This window comes from Homo sapiens, chromosome 4 (assembly GCF_000001405.40).
Source record: "Homo sapiens chromosome 4, GRCh38.p14 Primary Assembly".
NCBI lineage: Eukaryota > Metazoa > Chordata > Mammalia > Primates > Hominidae > Homo > Homo sapiens.
Genome location: NC_000004.12, coordinates 182,860,580 through 182,879,942, shown reverse-complemented (window position 1 = coordinate 182,879,942; position 19,363 = coordinate 182,860,580). Strand labels below are relative to the sequence as shown.

General features: G+C 47.7%; 1 long non-coding RNA gene across 1 annotated transcript, besides 2 other annotated features; it reads left to right on the top strand.

The window, feature by feature from the left end:
- The first annotated feature begins 405 nt into the window (after positions 1-405).
- Positions 406-8,820, top strand: LOC105377576 (uncharacterized). The gene is made up of 3 exons (XR_007058403.1): positions 406-1,288; positions 2,183-2,432; positions 5,065-8,820. It is a non-coding gene; the product is annotated as an uncharacterized LOC105377576 (long non-coding RNA).
- Positions 16,846-17,419: an enhancer, noted in NCBI's record as "H3K4me1 hESC enhancer chr4:183783677-183784250 (GRCh37/hg19 assembly coordinates)". NCBI's record gives its function as "activates a minimal SCP1, AML or CMV promoter by ChIP-STARR-seq in naive H9 embryonic stem cells {active_cell/tissue: H9 hESC(naive)}" and the evidence as "EXISTENCE:reporter gene assay evidence [ECO:0000049][PMID:30033119]".
- Positions 17,420-17,995: an enhancer, noted in NCBI's record as "NANOG-H3K4me1 hESC enhancer chr4:183783101-183783676 (GRCh37/hg19 assembly coordinates)". NCBI's record gives its function as "activates a minimal SCP1, AML or CMV promoter by ChIP-STARR-seq in naive H9 embryonic stem cells {active_cell/tissue: H9 hESC(naive)}" and the evidence as "EXISTENCE:reporter gene assay evidence [ECO:0000049][PMID:30033119]".

Sequence of the window (19,363 nt, the reverse complement as noted above, 5' to 3'; positions counted from 1 at the left end):
ACCCTGGCCCACCCTGTCTACCAGCACCCCCAAGACCCCCACCTCCCAGTAACCATCAGGTCACCCAGTTTCTTTCTTTACATAACTCTTTTGTCTATTTGTCTTACTGTTTTCTGTTTGTGTCCCCCCAAAACAGCAGGGCCAAGCCTGCTTTATTCCTCTTGACTCTCTAGTGCCTAGAACAGTGCCTGGCCCAGGGGTTTTGGGTTTTTTTGTTAGTTTGTTTGTTTTCTGAGATGGAGTCTCACTCTGTCACCCAGGCTGGAGTGCAGTGGTGCGATCTCAGCTCACTGCAACCTCCGCCCCCCGGGTTCAAGCAATTCTCCTGCCTCAGCCTCCCAAGTAGCTGGGACTACAGGTGCGTGCCACTACACCCAGCTAATTTTTGTATTTTTAGTAGAGACGGGGTTTCACCATGTTGGCCAGGCTGGTCTCGAACTCCTGACCTCGTGATCTGCCTGCCTTGGGCTCCTGAGTGTTTTCAGATAAGTAGATATTAAGTGACTGACTGAGTAAAGGGATACACTGGATCTATGGAAGTCTTGATCCAAAAAGCTCTCCATTGTCCAGTCAGACTCCCTTTTCCATCTCCAGGGCAGACCAGGGCATGGTATAAACTGACTCCACTCCTTGTGTGTAATACAGTGTCTTCCTAGAGAGGGCGTCTGTCATTCCACCCCCAGGGACTGCTTGGCATCTGTGTGGCAGGGGCCATGCTGTTCCCCGCTGGGAGCACCATCCTACAGTAATCTCTGTGCAGGATGCTATTATAAGAAAGACTTGGGACTTTGTCCCCACTCTGCAACCTCACACCCCAAACTGGGAAGGTGCTGAGAAACCGAAGATTGGCTCGGACAAGTCCAGCTTGGCCAGTAGATGACTCTATTGAGGGCCCTCCTGGGTGGCGGCAGGACAGCTCTAGAGGTTCGCACTGCTGCCATCACTAAGCAAAGTCTCTGGTTCCTGGCCTGCTGTGTGTGATGGGACTGCCTTCCTGGGTAGGTTCCCAGATACTCCCAGGGACACACGCTCCTCGCTGGGCCCCCCTGGCCTTGGCTCCTTGCCTGGCCTTCAGGGTTCAGGCAGTGGACATCCACCCCACGTGACATGGTGGGACACCTGTCACACCACCGATGCCCCTGCAGATGGGCCACGCAACAGCCCTCGGGCCTTCCTGTCTCAGAGCAGGGCTGATCACAGTCAGGCCCACTGCAGTGGAGAAAGACTGTGCAGAGCTAGACGCTGGACTCGGATCCTCTCTAGCGTGGGACAGGCACTGGGCACCCAGGTCAGCTGCAGTTCCTGAGAGAGGGCAGCCCCAGAGTCAGAATCAAGGTGTCAATAATAGGAGAAACGATGGTGGGGAGGAGACCAAGGCATTAATATAGGAACTCTGTATACTTTCCAGTCAATTTTTCCATAAAACTAAAACTGCTCTAAAAAAGGAGTCTGTTAATTTTTTAAAATCTCAAAAAGAATGTGGCTGGTGCCACAATGAACAATTTGAGTGAGAAGCTACTCAACGAGGTCAGAGGCATCAGAGAGGAAGAACACAGCAGCCTGTTTTCTTTGCTGCTCTTTACCGTTAGAAAGAACACTTTTACAACAGACTCTGTTTGAGGACAAACGCTCCACATTTTTGCCCGCTGGCAGCAGTCATAAATTATGAGATTTCTGAGGGGCACAAAACTGCAGCGGTCTAAACCAGGCAACAAAAATCAGCCAAGTCCTTATCAGGATCCCCTACAAATTCTATTGACTTTTTTGGATCTGTTTGTCCCTAGGTGTGAACTAGGGAAAAGTCAGGCGAGTCTGCCTTGCTAGTATATTTAAAAGAGGATCTTGGAGAATTTGAAAGAAAATGTGGAAGAAGAAATGACAGTGCTTGGTGAAAGTCAGCAGAAGGGCTTGATAATGGAACAGACTAAGGGTGGTGGATAGTTTTAAGGTTGAGAGAGAAATGGAATTAAAAAAAAGGGAGATATTCCTGGGGGCTTGAAGCAAGAAGCAGCAGCCGAGAGCAGCGCTGATCAGGATGTGAAGGGAGCTTGGTGCGGAGGGCAGTGCTTCCTATGAGAAAAAGTCCAGTGGTCAATCTTTTGGGAAGGAGCTGGTGGGATGAGGGGGCAGCTGGACTGACCTGAGTGCTGTTGTACTGTCTGACCATCTCCTTTGTAAACAGACGCTCCACACTCATGCTCAGAGCAGCATTATTCACAGCAGCCAGGAGGGGGACGTCGCCCAGGTGTTCCTCGGTGGATGAATGGATAAAGAAAATGTAAACACACAGTGGAATCTTACTCAGCCTTGAAAAGGAAGGAAAGTCCATCCAACACATGCTACTGCATGGACGAACTTTGGACAGTGAGCTAAGTGAAAGGAGACAGTCACAAAAGGACAAATACCAGATGATCCCACCTGCGCGAGATGATGTGAGTGTCAAATACATAGAGACAGAAAGTAGGATGGTGGGTGCGGGGCCTGGGAGAGGGGAAAATGGGAGTTGTTTAACAGATACAGACTTTCAGTTTTGTGAGATGAAAAGTTCCGGAGGTTGATTGCAAAGCAGTGTGCATATAGTTAACACTGCTTAACTGTACACTTAGAAATGGTTAAGATGGTAAATTTTATGTTATGTGTTTTTTTTGTTTTGTTTTGTTTTGTTTTTTTGAGATGGAATCTCTCTCTGTCGCCCAGGCTGGAGTGCAATGGCACGATCTCAGCTCACTGCAGCCTCCACCTCCTAGGTTCAAGCCATTCTCCTGCCTCAGCCTCCTGAGTAGCTGGGACTACAGCCTCACGCCACATGTCCGGCTAATTGTATTTTTAGTAGAGACAGGGTTTCATCATGTTGGCCAGGCTGGTCTGGAAATCCTGACCTCAAGTGATCCACCCGCCTCGGCCTCTCAAAGTGCTGGGATTGCAGACGTGAGCCACCGTGCCTGGCCTTATTATGTGTGTGGTTGTTTTTGTTTTGTTTTGTTTTTTTGTTTTCTTACCACACACACACACATACAAAACAGCTGCCCTGGCCCCTAGAGTAGTGAATTTTCACCAGCAGCCACCTAGGGGGTGAATTTTCTGATCATTTTGGGCTCAGTTCTGAAGTTCTGACTTTGAGCCCCACCTCACTCTGAATCTACAATCATTCTCTCTCCTGTCATCCTGTTGCAGTCTGCTCAGCTGCCCATAACTAAATACAAGGGACTGGGCGGCTTAAACAATAAGCCTTTACTTCTCACTGTTCTGGAGGCTGGGAAGTCTGAGATCAGGTGCTGGCATGGCCGGGTTCTGGTGAGGGCTCTCTTCCTGGCTTGTGGACGGCCGCCTTCTCACTGTGGGCTCACCTGGCAGGGAGTGGGGCCGGGAGCAACGGCTCTGGTCTCTTAGAAAGCTACTAATCCCATCGTAAGGGCGATACCCTCATGACTGCATCCAAACCTAATTACCTATAAAGGCCCTACCTCCAAAAACCCTCACATGGAGGGTTAAAGTTTTGACATATGAATTTGGGAGAGGGACACAGCTCAGTCCCTAGCACACCTTTCCTCCAACCCCAGAATTCAAAGGAGCAGCACACATTCCTTCAGCTCCGTCCATTGTAGCCTCCATTCCTCCTACGCTGTCTGAGCATCCTGGACTGTCTTGGGAACACCTGTCCTGTTTCCACCAGCTCCCTGGGATCTGCGGTGCAGACACCCCCTGAGAATGCCCACTCGGCTCCCCTGGGTCTTTAACCCAGGGACCGGCCAGATGTCTTGCTCACATGTCATAAATATGATTGCAATGTGGCTGTGCGTGGAACCCTGGCCCACTCTGGACCCTGAGCTCCAGAGACTCCGAGGCAGAGCTGCATTTCTATTATCACTTAGTAATTGGAGTTTTGCAGGCTTGGGATTACTGCTAATGGAAAGCAAATGGGCCAAGAATCAAGAAATAAGCACTTGAACAGCCAGCAGCACTCGGTAAAGCAAAGAGGCTATTATGCCACTTTATGTGGATAGAGATCATCATTTGCAGAAAGATTTGCAAAAATCTTTCCAGCCCATGGAAACAATGCCCACCAGGCCTTCTGGTGGCCCTGCCCTCCCTGCCTGGTGCAGCTAAGTGGCCGCCCAGGTAGGGAGCCTCACCTGCAGCACAAATTACCACCCGAAGCCAGCCTCTCCCGCTTGGCAGGAGCAAGGTTTGATCTTGCCTTCGCTGCCTGCTTTCTCGCTGGTACACAGAGCTCAGAGAAGCTCTTGGAACCAAAAGCCCTCCCACACACCCTGCCTCAGACTTCCTCGGCCTTCTCACCAGCCCCAGCCCAGAGAACAGGCGGTGATAGGGCTGCCATGAGCTGCTGTGACGGAAAGCTCGGAACAGTGGCTCTTGACTCAAGGAGAGAGAAGTGGCTGTAAAGAGTGACGTTTCCCGGGGTTTGCTGACCCCTGGTCTCCGGGTTAGTCTTGCCCTTTCTCCTCTGTGGGGTTGTGTCACCATCATACATTTACATGAGGGTCCTTTTCTCCATAGATCACGCCACCCCCTTCCCAGTGGCTAAAAGGCAATTTAATATGCAGAAGCTCTGCTAGAACAGCATTAGGTTATGACATGAGGAAATGGAAAAAAAACATCTAAGCCCAAACTCTGCCCTTCAGCCGTCCTCCTGAGACAGCGTGCTGCTGTCAGCCAAGGACAGAGTGGGCACGCTGGGGTTCTTGGGCTCAGCAAACAACAGGAAAACTGAGGCAACTTCAGCTGCTTACAAGAGAGAGACACAAGATTCACATGAGTTCCTAAGTTCAAGTTGGCTGAGGGGCTCAAGGGACTCACCGCGTCCCTCCCTCACTCCGGCAGATGCTGGGACGCTTCCAGACAGCCCCGGACATAGGGGGAGAGGGAGAGGCATGGAAACCCTCTTACCTTAGCCCCTCAGAAAGGTGCCTCCACTCATTGGTGACTCCCTCACTTAGCCATTAAATGTCACTACAGCCCGTTCGCACAGGGGAGAGAATCTACATCTAGCAGTAAAAAAAGGTGATGAAATGAAAGAAGTTGTGAAATGACATTTTTTTCCAGCAGGTTTGTCATATCTCCTGCATGGAGGAAAATTGCTTTCTGTAAATCTTGGTCCAACAGAACAAAACACCTATTTCTTTCCAGTTGGGAGGACAGCCATTCTCATCGGTATAATGAACGTATTGTAAGCTGTGACTTTTACAAAGTCTGAGGGAAACCAATCTGCAATCTTGACAGATACGATCTTTCCAGATGCACTGTTCGTTTACGGCGGCAAGAGAGCTCAATTAATTTCTGAGGGAGGACGGCAGGATGCGACCCCTTGTGCGTGGCCTAGGAGGAACTGTCCCTGTGTGAATTTATGTTCTGGTAATTTAAAAAGATTTATATTAAGCTTTTCTTTCATTTTGAGAGTAGATTAAAATTCTAATGGAAACCATTTGTATGCATTTGTTGAATTGAAGAGTATTTATGGCTGTGTAAAAAAAATGCTGCAAAATTCTGCCGATAATAAAGTCAGTGAAGCAAGAATAAGTGTAAAAACAGGAAGGAAATACGCGATAGAAACCATACTGTATTATACAAGTATAATGAGGGAGGCAAGCCGAGCAGAACGGGGCAGGGATTAGGCCCCCGGATGGGATAGTTTTTCTTATTTAGTGTAAGGCTTTTGTAGCCCTTTTATGACTTAAAACAAAATTTAAATTTTGAAACAGGCCAGGTCAGTCTGCACAGACCCCATGGCCACATCACTGTGTCACATCATTCTTGAACTCCTGCCGGTGTCTAGGACAAACAGGCAGGAAAGAAAATCCAAGCGGCGTCTCAGAGAAAAGATGCTGATGGCAGGAAAAGAAGACCCATGAAACAGGAGGCGGGGGTCAGCGAGCAAGGTGAAAATCAGAGCCCCGGAGTGCAGTGCAGGTGGAAGAGAGGTAGCAAAACCAGGGAAGTCGCCGTGCTCGGGACAGTCCAGTGTGTCCCTGGCATCCCCAGTCATTGCCGTGGCCACCTGATCAGAACCTGTACAGAAGCTGCCCCATCTCCTCCACGGTGAGGGCCAAGTTGCATGTGCCACAGCCCTGTCGGTGACCTTTCTGCGGGCTGGGGAAGCAGAGACAACGGCCTGACAATCTGCAGGCACAGCCATCCAAGGGGACAGGGTCCATGCAACAGCCACCAGAGAAAGCTCCTCACTGCCACCTTTGCAGAGGGAGAAAAGCAGAAAGCATCGTGGAGGCCCTTTATCATGTTGGAAGGCCAGAGACATTTGGCATTCCGTCAAGGTCCATCTTAGAGTTGAGAGAGAGTTTCACCAGGAAACTCACATTCTCTCAGAACTAGCAGCCGTGATCGCATGTCGAAGTCAGGCAACGCCAAGCGTGATGGTTAACAGCGCTAAGACAGGAGAAAATGGAAATTCCCTGAGAGTCCACTGCTCTGCTCCTGCGGCGGTGCTTTTCCCCCTCGTTGTAAGCATGCTCTTTACCAGAGCTGCACGGATGTCATAAACTGCCTCACGATGCACTAGAGCAGAATCGTGCGTTAGCAAATTTCACAGATGCAAAGTGGGATTTCTGTCAATGGAAGCCTGCATGGAAAATACGGAACAGCTTAAGAAAGTACTGTCTTCTCTCAAAATTCCACAGGAGCCTGAAATGCAGGGGTTCCGGCCTAGGCGTTTTTTGAGGCAAATAACGTCGCCACACGGCCGAGATACAGGCCCCTTTTTGCCCCATGAGACTTACTGGCCTCAGAGTCCGGCCGCTTCTGTTTTGTTTCTTCATGTATCCTTGGCTTCTAGCGCAGTTCCTGGTACACAGCAGGCGCTCAATACATATTTGCTGAGCTAAGCAAATATGTCCTAGGCCCTGTGGAAGATACGACATGAGGAAGACCAGGTCCCTGCCAAAAAGGCACCGAGGGCCCAGGCTGGGGAGGGTAGTGCTGACATCGAGTAGGCCTTCAGCTCTGACCCCAGCTTCATTTTAAGTGACTAGGAACAAATTCTCAAAACTTCTTTTCTATCAACTCTTCTTCACCCCCAATATCACAGCACAACTGTCTGTCATTGATGGAGTTCCTGCAATAAGACAAGCGCTAGAAGTTTACCATATTTGTATCCTTACTGGATTCCCAAATTAATCCTAGTAAGCAAGTGACATGATTGTTTTTAGTAGAGACAGGGTTTCACTTTGTTGGCCAGGCTAGTCTTGAACTCCTGACCTCAAGTGATCCACCCACCTCAGCCTCCCAAAGTGCTGGGATTAGGAAAATGAATACTTTTGCAAGCACAATGACAGGAGTGTCAAAGGAGGTAGGCTCCACACTCTGATGTCTCTTTATCAGTGAGGCCTTTTCTGACTCCCTCACATGAAGAGCAAACTCACTTCCCTTGTGCCAAAGCACTCAACATATATGACATCCCACACGGGGTAGGCTGAATCGTGGCCCTTAAAGTATGTCCATGTTCCAATCCTTAGAACATGTGAATGTATTACCTTATGTGGCAAAATGGACTTTGCAGACATGATTAAGTTAAGGATCTTGAGATTTCAGGAAAATTATCTTGGATCATTCAGGTAGGCCTGACATAATCACAAGAGCCCTTACAAGAGAGAGGCAGGAGGCCAGAGGCAGAGAGCTACACTGCGGAGCTGCTTTGCAGATGGAGGAAGGGGCCACCGAGACCTGAGAAAGTCAAGGAGACAGATTCTCCCCTGGAGCCTCCAGAGGGAACCAGCCCTGCTCACACCGTCATTTCAGCCCTGCAAGACTTGTTTGGGCTTCTGACGTCAAGAACTGGGACAGAATGAATTTGTGATGTTTTAGGCCACTAGATCTGTGGTAATGTGTTATAGCAGAAATAGGAAACTAACACAACTCATCTCTACTTGTGTATATGTTTGTTATCCGTCTTCCTCTGCTGGGACATGAAATCCGCAACAAGTGGAGGCAAAGCCAGGGACTTTGTCTATTATGTTGACTGGCATCCTTAGTGCTCAGAACAGAGCTCAGAATAATAAATATTTGTTGAATGAGCAAAGACGGAGGGGGCAGTCGCAGGAAGGGGGCCTACCGCGTGGCTAAGGGCCCTGAGGTATGAAAGATCTGAGATGCTGGTGGACGTGGCTGCTTCCCGAGCTGAACTGGGGAAGTGGTGGGGAGGTGGGAGATGTCGGGGAGCTGATGCTGGGGCAGTTTATACTTTATTCTGCAAATGAAGAATTATTGATGGGTTTCATGTAGAGTCATGATCATATTTCTTGATTGCGTTTTTTTTTTGTTTTGTTTTGTTTTGTTTTTTTGAGACAGAGTCTCACTCTGTCGCCGAGGCTGGAGTGCAGTGGTGCGATCTTGGCTCACTGCAACCTCCGCCTCCTGGATTCAAGCTTCCCGAGTAGCTGGGATTACAGGTGCATGCCACCATGCCCGGCTAATTTTTGTATTTTTAGTAGAGACGGAGTTTCACCATGTTAGTCAGGCTGGTCTCAAACTCCTGACCTCGTGATCCACCCACCTCAACCTCCCAAAGTGCTGGGATTACAAGCGTGAGCCACTGCGCCTGGCCTCCTGATTGCTTTTTAAGTAATTTTTTAAAAATAATTTTTCTCTTTATTATTAAATGTTAGAAATATATGGAAACGTGGGCAAAAAGTAAAAATCACTCAAATCTCATTCCTAGAGTTAGTCACTATTAATATTTTGGTGTATGTGTATTTCTTCCTTCAACATTCAGATTATATACTTTTTTGAAACTGGCTTTTTTCTCTTAATGTGAATTTCTCCATGTCATTAAATATTCTCCTAAAAACATGGTCTTTAGTAACTATATCGTATTCTATCATCCAACCACAACTAAGTTCATTTAATCAATTCCCTCTAACTGGACAGTTCTTTTACTCCCCCAGTATTTTGTGATTTTAAGTAATAATAATAGCACCTGGCATATACTAGGCATTCCATATTTGTTGAATGAATGCATGGTTCAGAGAACATTTCAGACATAAACCTTTATATGTATGTCTAATTGCTTCTTCAGGAAAAAAATTCTTGCGAGTGAAAATGTTGGGTCAAAGGCTGTATTTTTTTTAATGGCTCTTGATACATATGGCCAAATTGCCTTTCCAAAAGGTTATAAAAATTATAACTCCACCAACAGTATATGGGTGCATAATTTCGCTGCTCCAAGGGTGGTATTGTAATTTTTCAAACCAGTATTTGCATTTTAGAAAAGTTTCCATGGGGACATGAAGGTAGTAGTTAGCCGGTCTTGTGAAGTCCAGGCAAACAATAGAAAGAACCTGAATTGTAGCATTGGAGGTTGTGTTAGAAAGAAGACAGATTCAAGCTGTACAGGATGTGACATCCTCAGGACTTGAATGTAGAAGGTTGAGAGAGATGTTGGAATGACCAACTCCGGCTTAATTAACCAGACCTTTATTGTAAGCTCATGGGGCAACCCACAGAGTCAAAGCTAAGGTGTCAGGCTCCAGAAACACTGAGGCAGCATCATTTGGGATCCAAGAAGCAGAAAGGAATGGATGGTATCTTCTCAGGACCCCACCCCCAGAATGAGACTGTTTTTGTGTCACATTGCTTAAGGTTCAAATTCCAGAGAGAGGGGCGAGTCTGGCCTACTGTGGGTCAAGTGTCCATCCTGTGGCCAGAGGCAGGGGGTACCTTGATGGATAGTCCTTCCAAGAAGAGGGAGGGGTCCGTACTGTTTCCAGCAGAAGACCATCTAAATAAATACCAGGTATGCAAAAATCTATGGCAGTCTTCTCCAAATGTCAGTGCTTCCCATATTTAACAGTTCCTGCTCATATTCAGCCTTTCCTTGAACACAAGGATAACTCCTTTCTAAGAAAAAGAGGAAATAGGAGGGAGACAGAAATATCTTCTGACCTTGCTGGGATCCTGGCTCAAATCCCCTGTAACCCCGTGCCCTCTGGCTTCCTGGACCTTGGAGTGGCAGTCAGCTAGCTGACCACCAACATCTGTGCTTCCTCTCTCATGCCATGAGGTTGCTTCTGGGAGCACCTGCCCCTCCAGAGGCAGTGTTTCCCAGCCCCACTTGCACTGGCTTGGGGCCACGTTCCTACCAATGGAAAAAGCTGGGCCAGGGTTTTCTAGAAGCAGATGTCCCTGGACCCGGAATTACCACAGAGGGAAAGCTGCGTGCCAACCAGGAACACCCTCATTGGACTGAGATGTGAGTGAGAAACAAACTTTGAGTATGTGGCTCCATTGAAATGTTGGGGTTTATTTGTCACTGTGGCTAATTTATAACCTTCTAAACACCTCTAGATACTTGTTTAATAAAGGCCTGAGAAGAAATAAATGAGCCATGGGTAAAAAGGCCCCTACAGGATTCCAGAGTAACATAATTCCTTAAAATATAGGAAATAGCCCAGCAATTCCAGTCTTAGGTCTATATCCAAGAGAAATGAAAACATGTGGCCACACAAAAGCTTGCGCATGAACGTTCACGGCAGCATTGTATGTAACAGCCAGCAGGTGGATACCCAGATGCCCATCAACTGATAAGTAAAACTTATATCCATACAATATTGTTTGGCAATACAAAGAATGAAGTACTGATACAGATGATACTATGTATATTTAACATCATGCTAAGTGAAAGAATCCAGTTACAAAAGACCATGCGTTGTATGATTTCATTTATATGAAGTGTCCCAAATAGGCAAATCCATAGACTCAGAAATAAGTTAGTGGCTGCCTGGAGGTGGGAGTGTGAGGGGGTAAATTGGGAGGAGATGGGCAGTAAATGCTAATGCATATGAAATTTCTTTTTGGGGTGACAAAACTGTTCCAAAATTCATGGTGGTGATGGTTGCACCATTCTGTGAATATATTAAAAGCATTGAATTATATGCTTCAAATAGGTGAATTGTATGGTATGTGAGCTATATCTTAATAAAACTGTTATGATTTCTTAAAGAGAGAAACATAGAAAATAACAACAAAATGAGATAATGATGAAAAGGAACACAATAGACCATCTTCACTCCTTCTAGCAACCCAGTCTCTCATAGGGCAAAGGAAAAGCAAAGTGACAGCTTCCAAATGAAATCAGAGATGTCTCCCAGCCCTAAATAAATAAACCCGTACTTGCTTCACAGACAGGGTGAAGACTCTGGATTCCATATGATAACAAAGCTTTATTTCCAAATAAAGTATGAATATGGAGATCAAAGGACAGCTGACCAGGGCCAGTCCCAAAAAGGTTCAGAGAGGCTGTAGGTCTTTGCTGGCAAAAGTATTAAAAGTAAAACAACCAAACCAAAGGCAAGTCACAAGAAGCTGAAATGTCAAAAAATGAGCTCATCGGCACCAAGAGAACAGAAAGGAGATCCATGCTGGCTCAGAGACATAGGTTGGGGCAGTGGAGCTGAGTGAACCCAGTGCCCATGAGGAGGGAGAATCGCTGGAACCCAGGAGGCAGAGGCTGCAGTGAGCCGAGATCATGCCACTGCATTCCAGCCTGGGCAACAGAGCGAGACCCCGACTCAAAAAAATAAAATAATAAAATAAAGGAGGGAGACAAAATACCATATGCAAGAAAGGAAATCTTTTAACATGATTTAAACTTATAACAAAAAATTGGAGCTGTTACCAGCTGTTACCATTGTTACCAATTACCATTGAAAATGGTAATCAAAAACCACTCTGAAAAGCATAGCGTGCTCTCTGAGGGGTGGTGTGATTCGGATTTGTGAAAATTATTTTTATTTGAATGGAAAAATAAAAATCAAAAAAACACCAAAGGGCCTTTTACGTATTTTACCACAAATTCATAATTTGATAGGACAATAAGAAAACTGAATTAAGGCCAGGCGTGGTGGCTCATGCCTGTAATCCCAGCACTTTGGGAGGCTGAGGAGAGAGGATCACTTGAGCCCAGGGGTTCAAGACCAGCCTGGGAAACATAGTGAGACCCCATCTCTACAAAAACATTTAAAAATTAGCCTGGCGTGTGGTGCACACCTGTAGTCCCAGCTACTTGGGAAGCACCTGCAGTCCCAGCTGCTTGGGAAGCACCTGTAGTCCCAGCTATTTGGGAAGCACCTGCAGTCCCAGCTGCTTGGGAAGCACCTGTAGTCCCAGCTACTTGGGAAGCACCTGTAGTCCCAGCTACTTGGAAGCTGAGGCAGGAGGATCACTTGAGCTTCCAGTTATGCCACTGCACTCCAGCCTGGGCAACAGAGCAAGACTCTGTAGCTTAAAAAAAAAAAAGGAAATAAAATAACTTATAATGACTGATTAAAAACTTATTGTTGCTTGCTAATGTAGATAAAAAGCTGGCAAAATGTTGGTGCCTTAAATTTGGGGGAACTTTGCTTGCCCCAGTTGACAGATCTGGGACCTCTGAATCCCCTGACTGTATCAGTGCCTGGGAGCTCTGAGCCTCTTTCTCCCTCCCCAAAGCTCAGGGACCCTGGTTTCTGAACCCCAGGCCAGAGCCCCTGCTTAAGACAGGCTTATTGAGCAGATTTTCTGCTTTGTGGTGTTAGCAAATATTCAGATGCTCAGCAAGGTCTGGCTGATTCTAGACCAAAAAACCTGGAAGATTTCTGGCAGAAGAGAGAGGCAGGCAGCATTGCTACAGCATTTCAAGTTCAACCAAAGTCAGAGAGAGAGGAAGAAAGGCTAGCTTTGCTCCTGACAAGCACACAATTTTATTAGTTTTGCCGTTTTTTTCTCTTGAAAAAGATACTTCTCACCGCCTTCCTTGGTGAGGAATCCCTCTGTTTTATTATGAAGGAAGGGAAGAGCACCATGCGGGTGGGCTTTTTTATCTTCAAGCACTCTGGCAGGTCAGACATGATTTTATAGATGAGGGGACTGGGGCTGGGAAAGTTTATGAACTCTCCCTGGGCCCCCATACTGAGCGAGCGCCGGGGTCTGACTTCCAAGTTCATTGTCTCTGCACTGCTCCCCAGGGCTTCCTGAGAAAAATGGCTTCTTCTTGTTCCCTTGACCCCTCCCAAAGAACTGAGTTTTCCTTGTTTCCTCAAGCAGGGAAATGACAGGGATAAAATTAGCATTACTGTGTTTTAGTAGATAATTCATGCTGCTGGTCTCACTGAATCATGGTGATAGGTCCAGGCTGTCGACTTCCAGAGACTTTTGTTTAGGGCCCATTTGCTGGTGCAAGTTGAGGATAGAGTTGGGGTCAGTTCTCTCTGGTTACTCCAGATGCCAAATTGCGCAAAAGCTGAAGGGAGGCTACGCAGCGGGATTCAAACTCACATGTGCCACCCAAGGTCCTTGCTGAGGTGCAACACCTTGTGGTACTTGAGATTTGGGGAGAAACCTGGGGCTCTGGGACTGCTTTTCTCCAGGGGCTTGAATCGTGGGTTAGAAGAAGCTGGAGAGCGAGCGGCATGCCTGTGTTTGAGGCTGGTGCATTTGCTAAACACGGGAAATGCTGCCCTCTTCACTGAGACCCAGAGTGTAGCCAGCAGGTCTCTGGGAGAGCGTTTGCTGCCCTCAGCCTAACTCATGCCACTTCTCTAGTGTGGGCGGTGAGTTTTCACTCCCTGTAGACGCCGCAGCCTGCTATCACCATGAACAGATAGAAAGTTTCTGGAGTATGGGTTTAAAGCAGGGATTCTTAAAAAATTTTTTTCACCATGGACCCCTTTTGCAGTCTATGGACACTGTTTTACAACAATGTTTTTAAGTGCATAGTATTGTATTAAATATCAGCCAGGCACAGTGGCTCACACCTGTAATACCAGCGCTTGGGAGGCCGAGGTGGGACAATCAGTTGAGTCCAGAAGTTCAAGACCAGCCTGCAACACAGCAAGACTCTTGTCTCCACAAAAAAAAATTAAGAAAATTTGGCCAGGCACAGTTGCTCACGCCTGTAATCCCAGCACTTTGGGAGGCCAAGATGGGCAGATCAGGAGGTCAGGAGATCGAGACTATCCTGGCTAACACGGTGAAACCCCCATCTCTACTAAAAATACAAAAAAAAATTAGCCAGGCGTGGTGGCGGGCACCTGTGGTCCTAGCCTACTCGGAGGCTGAGGCAGGAGAATGGCGTGAACTCGGGAGGCGGAGCTTGTAGTGAGCCGAGATCGTGTCACTGCACTCCAGCCTGGGGGACAGAGCGATACTCCGTCTCGAAAAAAAAAAGAAAATGAGCTGGACATGGTAATGTATTCCCGTAGTCCGAGCTACTTGGGAGGCTGAGGAGGGAGCCCAGGAGTTTCAGGTTACAGTGAGCTATGATGACATCACTGCAATCCAGCCTGGGCGACCGAGGGAAATGCTGTCTCTTAAAAAAACACAGAGGATTACAATGAAAACCAATTATATTGATATACAATTATCAATATTTTAAAAAACCCATTTGTGATAGAGTATATATGTGCTTTTTATTAATGTGTTACATAACAAGATCTCATGCAGGTTTAATAACCACCATAACTTTGAAGTAGTGATAAGGGTAAATAATATTTCAAGATATTTGCAGCGACTGGTAATGGGATATGAAAATATCTGTGATTTCTACTGGGAACAAACCACAGGAACTGCTAATACTACTGTGGTTCAGTGGCCACATTTATAATTAAAGGAAATGCTAAGTTTCAGCTAGAGGTTAGTGAAAATAAGAGGTAATTGTTTTTCTACTCAAGTCTAGGATCCCCCTGAATTCACAGCTTCCTGAGTTCCTGTAAAAAGAAAGCCTAGCTTTCTTCTCACAAGATGCATTTTAGAGAAATCACTAACTTGCTGTTGTTCTTGTCGTTTTACATTTCTTCGTTCTTTTAATTTCCCTCTTACTTTGATTTCTGTTGTTCATTCTCACTGCAGTCCCCAAATGCTTTTCTCAGTCTTTCTAGACCTCTCCTTTCCTTTTTAAAAGGTTCTCTCCTTTCCTTTTTAAAAAGGTTTTCACTTCTCTCTGTTCTGTAGACTCAACGACAAATCCAAAGAAACACCTTTAAAATATTGAACAGGCAGAAAACGGAGGTCTGGTGGGGAAGCAAATGTGCGTGTCCCACAATCTGTAAGGAGGGGCCCTTCGAATCTGAGGTCTCTCCCTCATCTATCCTCCCGGGCTTTTCAGCTCTGCACTACTCCTCCTCGGGAGATGGCAGGAGGCTGTGCTCCTCCCCAGTCTGGCACCCCTTGCCTATGAATTCATGCAGTGGCCCCAATCTATTTTCCTGTATAGACCCTACAATAATTTTTGAAAAACTATGTATCACTTCATACATTTTTAGGTAAACAGGTCCAATTTTTTGTTATAAGTTTAAATCATGTTAAAAGATTTCCTTTCTTGCATATGGTATTTTGTTTCTCTCCTTTATTTTATTTTATTTTTTTGAGTCAGGGTCTCGCTCTGTTGCCCAGGCTGGAGTGCAGTGGCGTGATCTCGGCTCACTGCAGCCTCTGCCTCCTGGGTTCAAGCGATTTTCCCGCCTCAGCCTCCCAAGTAGCTGGGACTACAGGCACCCACCACTACACCTGGCTAAATTTTGTAGTTTTAGTAGAGACGGTGTCTCACCTGTTGGCCAGGCTAGTCTTGAACTCCTGATCTCAAGTGATCCACCTGCCTCAGCCTCCCAAAATGTTGGGATTACAGGCGTAAGCCACCGTGCCGGGCCTCAAGGGTCTTTCTGAAGCTCTCCCTGCCTTGACCTTAAAGAGTCCTCAAGAATAGTGTATTCAGGAATTGTCTCTTTTTTAGTGTCCTAGAGGTGTTTGCACCCCAAGGCAATTCAGGATGGGTGAGAGGAAGGACTTTCTTCTGTTCATAGAGAAGACTGTTGTGGAAGGGGGTGGGGAGGGGAAACGACCCTGCAGAATGCTGGCACATTCTTGGCAGATCAATTTTAGGAAGTTGAGAACCTGGAAATTGATTTATTGATTCCTTTAAAGCAGCCTGTGTCCACTAAAAAGCCTTTGTGGGCTTGGGTTTCATTGAAGACCCATGAAATTAGGGAAGGGGCTCATTCCCTTTGGGTGAACCTCTTCATTAGGTCAGTCGTGACCCAAGCATTGTGTACTTCTTCCATCACCAGGACCTGCTGTGTGTCACACCATGTACCGGCTGGTGAGGGAAACACAGCCACAGTCCCTGCCCTCTCTGTGGAGCCCAGGAGAAGGGGCAGTGCTCTGGAGGGGAAGTGGGGGCACGGCTGCCAGGAGGAACTCAGCTCAGGCTGGCGCTGGGGTGTGGTCGAGGCAGAGGGAGGACTTCACGGAGAGGGTGTCCTCTCTGAGGCCTGGAGGAGGCATGAATGAGCAAAGAAGGAGGTGGGTGGTGACTGCCAGAGGAGAGCAGGGAAGGGCTCTGCAGCCTGGAGGCTGGAGGGGAAACTTGCCCAAATCCGTCAATCCAGACAAAGAGCAGGAAACCATAAGGTGATTTAGTCAATTGCCTGCATTGCAAAGAAACAGAAATATGAAGGCCACACACTAAAATTAGTGACTAGCCTTGAATTATGATCCAGACATCTGAGCCGAAGGCCAGGGCAGTGACTCCTCTTCACCAGAGGTGCTGTTTATTCCAGCATGCTTCGACTTCAAGGCATTCAATCACTGTTGATTAATTAAGCGTCCGAAGACGCATGAGTACGTGGTGGGATCATCTCCAGTTCAGAGACGGGGAAGTTAGGGTTCAGCAATGCAGTCAGCTCAGACACGCTCCCACGCTGGGGTCAGGCAGCCTAGGACGCTGCCTCTCGGTGGGCATCAGTGGCTGCACCTCTGCGCTCCTCTCAGGTGCTGCTGACGTTACCAGGTGTGAGTGCAGCCACTTCTGTGGAGAAAGGAAATGGTCTTGGCCAGGTGCCGCCACCATGGAGCGGGGCCAGCCACCTGCCCATCAGCCGGGCGGCACAGCCAGGCACCTTTGTTCTCACATTTGCTTTTCTTTCCTGAACTTGGCACAGCAAAGCCAGTCCCAGGAGGAGAACTCCTTCCCAAGAGGAGGTTAAGTGCTTTGGCTTCAGTTTCCAATATGACTTGCTTGACTTTTTTTCCACTTTACAGAGATAAGTGAAAATCCTACAGGTAGGATTCGCTCTGGCCAAAAAGACTGGCGTGCTCAGGCCTGGCAGAGGAGGTGGGCAGAGAGTGGGCCAGCGGCCAGTGACAGCCTGGGAGGCCGCCCACTGGAGCCACCGGTCAAGGACACAGGCACCCAGGGAAGGCTGGGGGTGGCAGGAAATGCTTCCCAGTGACCTGGAGGGCTGTGTGTGTGAGTGGAGGGTCTCCAGAGCCCCGGCAGCAGCAGTGGTTTTTGCCATTTTATCTGCTGCAGGCTGTCAGCTGGCATGCAGCGGGGCTCCACTTTGATTTCTGGTTTGCTAGAGCCTTTCGGAGGACGGCGTGAGCTGAGAACTACCCAACTCCTGGTGGCTGTGCTAACTCGAGTGTGACAGAGCCACGCTCTGCCAGGACTCTGTCGTTGGCATGGGGGCCTTGTGAGGAGGTGTTCTGTTAGCCAGAAAGGTGCATTTTTCTCCACTTAGCTTCCAAGTTGTGGGGAAGCAGACCTGTCTTCTGGGGATCATCCTGGCCCAGGCGGGCCCCCTGCAGGGCCTGAGTGTGGCTGCAGACAGGCTGCAGAAGGTGTGAGCTCCAGGTGGGGCCGGGAGAGGAATGGCAGGCTCCCTCTTGCTTGCTTGCTTGCTTGCTTCTGGCTAATCACTGTGATGAGCTTGCAAATGGCTCTTTACACAGCGGCTCTCCAGGAGACGGGCAGGTTCTGGAATAAAATATGATGCCAAGCTCCCTTCTATCCATTCTCCCGGCTAATTTTCAAAGCCTTGACAAAAACATCCCATAGCACCTCATGCAAAGTAGGTGCTCAATAAGTATTCAGTGAACCACCAAGCAAATTAAAATAAATGACATGGTGGCATCAACATACTGATCTTGGACTTGATGTCCCAGAAAATAAGGGCTGTGGCTTTTGAATCTGCCTTGTGGAAAATTAGAAAAATTTTCTAATATTTTTGTGATGATGGTGAATCTAGCGCCTGAGTCCTGTGATCTGTAGAGTGGAATAGTGAAGCTTGAAAAGTGAGAGTTATGTGTATTCATCAGGAAAAGTGGGACAGAAAGTTTGAAATCACAGCATCCTGGGAAACACCTGGCCATGCCTCCAGGGGAGTCTCTGATGCTTTTCCAGCAAACTCACCAATACAAGAGATCCCTGGGCCTGGGAGGCCCCCAGAGAGCGCAGAAGCTTCTTTCTCGGTACCAGTGGATCCCTTTCTATCAAAAAAGTTAGTGGGAACATGTGTTTGTTACCTAGGGCTCCCTAACAAAGTACCGCAAACTGGGTGGCTTCCACAACAGAAATGTATGGCCCCGAGTTCCGGAGCCTGGAGGGTCAAGGTATCGGCAGGGTTGGCTCCTCCTGGGGCTGTGAGAGAGCCTGAGCCGTGCCTCTCCCCAGGCTTCTGGAGATTCCCTGGCGATCTTCGGTGTTCCTTGTCTTGGAGAAGCCTCACCCCAATCACTGTCTTTTTCTGTGTATAGTGCTCCTCCTACGTGTCTGTCTGTGTGCAAATTTGTTTTTTTAAAGAGAACACTGGTCATGTGGGATTAGGGCCCAACCCCCCCAACCCCCACAACCCCTGCCAGTATGATCTTATCTCAGCTTAACTAATTACACCTGCAACAACCCTGTGTCCAAATAGGGGCACATTTTGAGGGACTAGGGGTTAGGATTTCAACATATGCATTTTGAGGGGGACACGGGCCTATAACAGAGAATTTCCACAGCTTTGAGAACGAGAGTAAGGGGATCATCCGTTGAGCGATTGTATGTGAGAGGTGATGAGGGAAAAGGAGGGAGACGGGAAACGAAGGACAAGAGCAATTGTGGGGAGCCTTGGTGGGCAGGAAGGAGAAAGAGCCCGCAGCATCCGACAGCGGGGTGTTTTGTTTTGTTTTGTTTTTTTGAAATGGAGTCTTGCTCTGTCGCCCAGGCTGGAGTGCAGTGCGCAATATGGGTTCACTGCAAGTTCCGCCTCCCAGGTTCACACCATTCTCCTGCCTCAGCCTCCCGAGTAGCTGCGACTACAGGGGCCCGCCACCACGCCCGGCTATTTTTTTTGTATTTTTAGTAGAGACGGGGGTTTCACCGTGTTAGCCAGGATGGTCTCGATCTCCTGACCTTGTGATCCACCCGCCTCGGCTCCCCAAAGTGCTGGGATTACAGGCATGAGCCACCACACCCAGCTACAGCAGGGTTTTTTATGGGGCTGCTGGCCTCCACGGATTCATTCATTCATTCCTTCATTAGTGAACCCCTGCAGTTTGCTAGCACTGTATAGAATACACATAATACAATATATAATGT